Below are 2,324 nucleotides of genomic sequence, written 5' to 3' on the forward strand. Positions count from 1 at the left end.
CAGACATCTCAGTCTGTTCTGAGTGTAAACTTCCCAAAAGAAGTAATAATTCCCAATTTAAATTATACAACATCACAGCACCTAAACTGGCATCAGGCAGCCTATGAAAGTCCAGTGCATATGTAATGATGGTTCTCAAAGACAGTGGTTTCAGGATTGAACTCTTAGTTTCACTGCCCCGTTGTGTCTGCTTAGAGTCAATGTGTTGAAGTGAGGTAGCCAATGAGTCAAACAAAAACTTGGAATAATTGTGTAATGTTTTAGTCTTGAATCAGTAACTTGCTTTGTGATCTTGTACCAAATAAATATTAAGTCCGGGAAAATACGGAATTCTGATTTATCTTGTGTCAATTCAATTAGGTACACTGCTGACCACATATAGTAGTTAGGATTATTGTTCAATAAAAGTTCATTCTACCTCTCCTTCCCACTCTGCTTAGAGCATATCTGCCTGCACCACTGATATTAGACTTGGCCACGAGATCTGCATTAGCCAGCAGAATGTTAGGAGACACTATGTAAGTACAGCCCTCACATGCTTGAATGACTTGGCTTGACTTTTAGACTCTAGTGATCCGACATGAGTAGAACATGTCCCAGACAGCAACTTATTTCAGACTAGAAAGGAAAACAGAAGAAAACATAAGGGGACAGAACTATATCCAACCCACAGCCTGGAAAAAAACATCCAATCTTCAGCCTGAAGCAGAGCCACCTGGCTTAATTGACTTTAGATCAGCCAAACCCCAGTTGATGCACAGATCCTGGGGCATAAGAAAGAACACTGTTTCTGTAAGCCACTTGTTTTTAGAGTGGTTTTTTATGTAGCATTATTGTGGCAATACCTGATCAACAAAATGTGGATCTGACACAAAAATATATACTGGATCATTTACAGGACAATAGTTATCCATCTCTCCTTTTAGTACAACTGTTAAGAACATAGGTTTCCCAAATTCCTGAACAGAACCAAGGTGTTTTAACCCAGAAACAGACCAAGACCAAAACTGGGGAGAAAAGCCAAATCAAAAACTACTTTAGTGACAATGAAGTGCAAAAGAGATCAGAAGGCCAGAACTGATTTTATTGGCATAAAATAAAAACAAACACTAACTATTGATCTATTCAACAAATGGAAGAATCTCAATTTTTTTGTAAAGTAGAAGAAGCCAGCCACAATACACTACATATTTTATTATTTCATTTATAGAATATTCTGGAAAAAGCAAAACTCCAAGGACAGATAGAAGATTAATGGTTGCCAGGGTTTGGGGGATGGAAAGGGCTAACAACAAAGAGACCACACACAAAAAAAATTTGGGAGTGATGGAACTGTTCCATATCACAAGTATGGTGGTAGATACATGGCTCTATGCATTTGTCAAAAGCCATAGAACTGTATTCCACAAAGAAAATTTCATAGTATACAAATTAGCAATTAAAAATAACTCAACAAAGTCAACAGATTGAAAAGTATTAGGCTAGCGGACCTTTAAATCTTACTTCCAGACCTAAATATTGATGTGATACATACCTCATTTTCTTTTATATCTTTTGTAAGCTGGTATTTTTGCTATGAGTGAAAAGCATTATCTAAATCTATTTTGTATACTTTTTATATGGCCATAATGAAATGTCTTCCAAAACCCACTTGCAATGCACTGCAAGCTTTATTATACTTTTATCTTCATAAAGAGCAAGCCATTGGATATTTACCGGTCCATTGTTCTCTTAGGATAGTATTTGCAGTGGGCACTTGTAGAATGCAGTTAACCATACCATGAAGCTGGCATAGAATAAAAATTTGTGTATGCACAGTCTGTCTTAAGAGCCCCTGTGTCTTTCCTTTCCAGGAGGGATTGCATCTTTTAATTTAAGATAAAACTGTAGAAAAAAACTATTTCTTGCAAAAGATGTGAGCTTTCAGATGTGACATGAGAGTGAAGGCAAAGGTTTCCCTTACTCTTTGGATACTCCTCTACATGCCTTCAAGAGGCCCCAATAATTCATGCCTCCTGGTATTTGCACCCTGGTTTACCCCCTTCTTATTCTGTACGAGGGTCAGTCACTGTAACCAATAGCATTCAGGAGAAGTGATGATATGTCATTTCCAAAATCAGATTATAGAAATATTGCATCTTCCTATTTAGATGAGCACCTTCTTGCCCTTGGATCACCCACTCTGGGGGAAGCTGTGTCATGAGTAGTTCTATGATCAGGCCCATGTAGCCAGAAACAAAAACCTCCTGCCAAGAACTGCATGAGTCATCTTGGAAGTGACCCTCCCCAGTCATGACTTCAGATGACACTGCAACCCTGCTGGC

Source organism: Homo sapiens, chromosome 5, assembly GCF_000001405.40.
Source record: "Homo sapiens chromosome 5, GRCh38.p14 Primary Assembly".
Taxonomy (NCBI): Eukaryota; Metazoa; Chordata; class Mammalia; order Primates; family Hominidae; genus Homo; species Homo sapiens.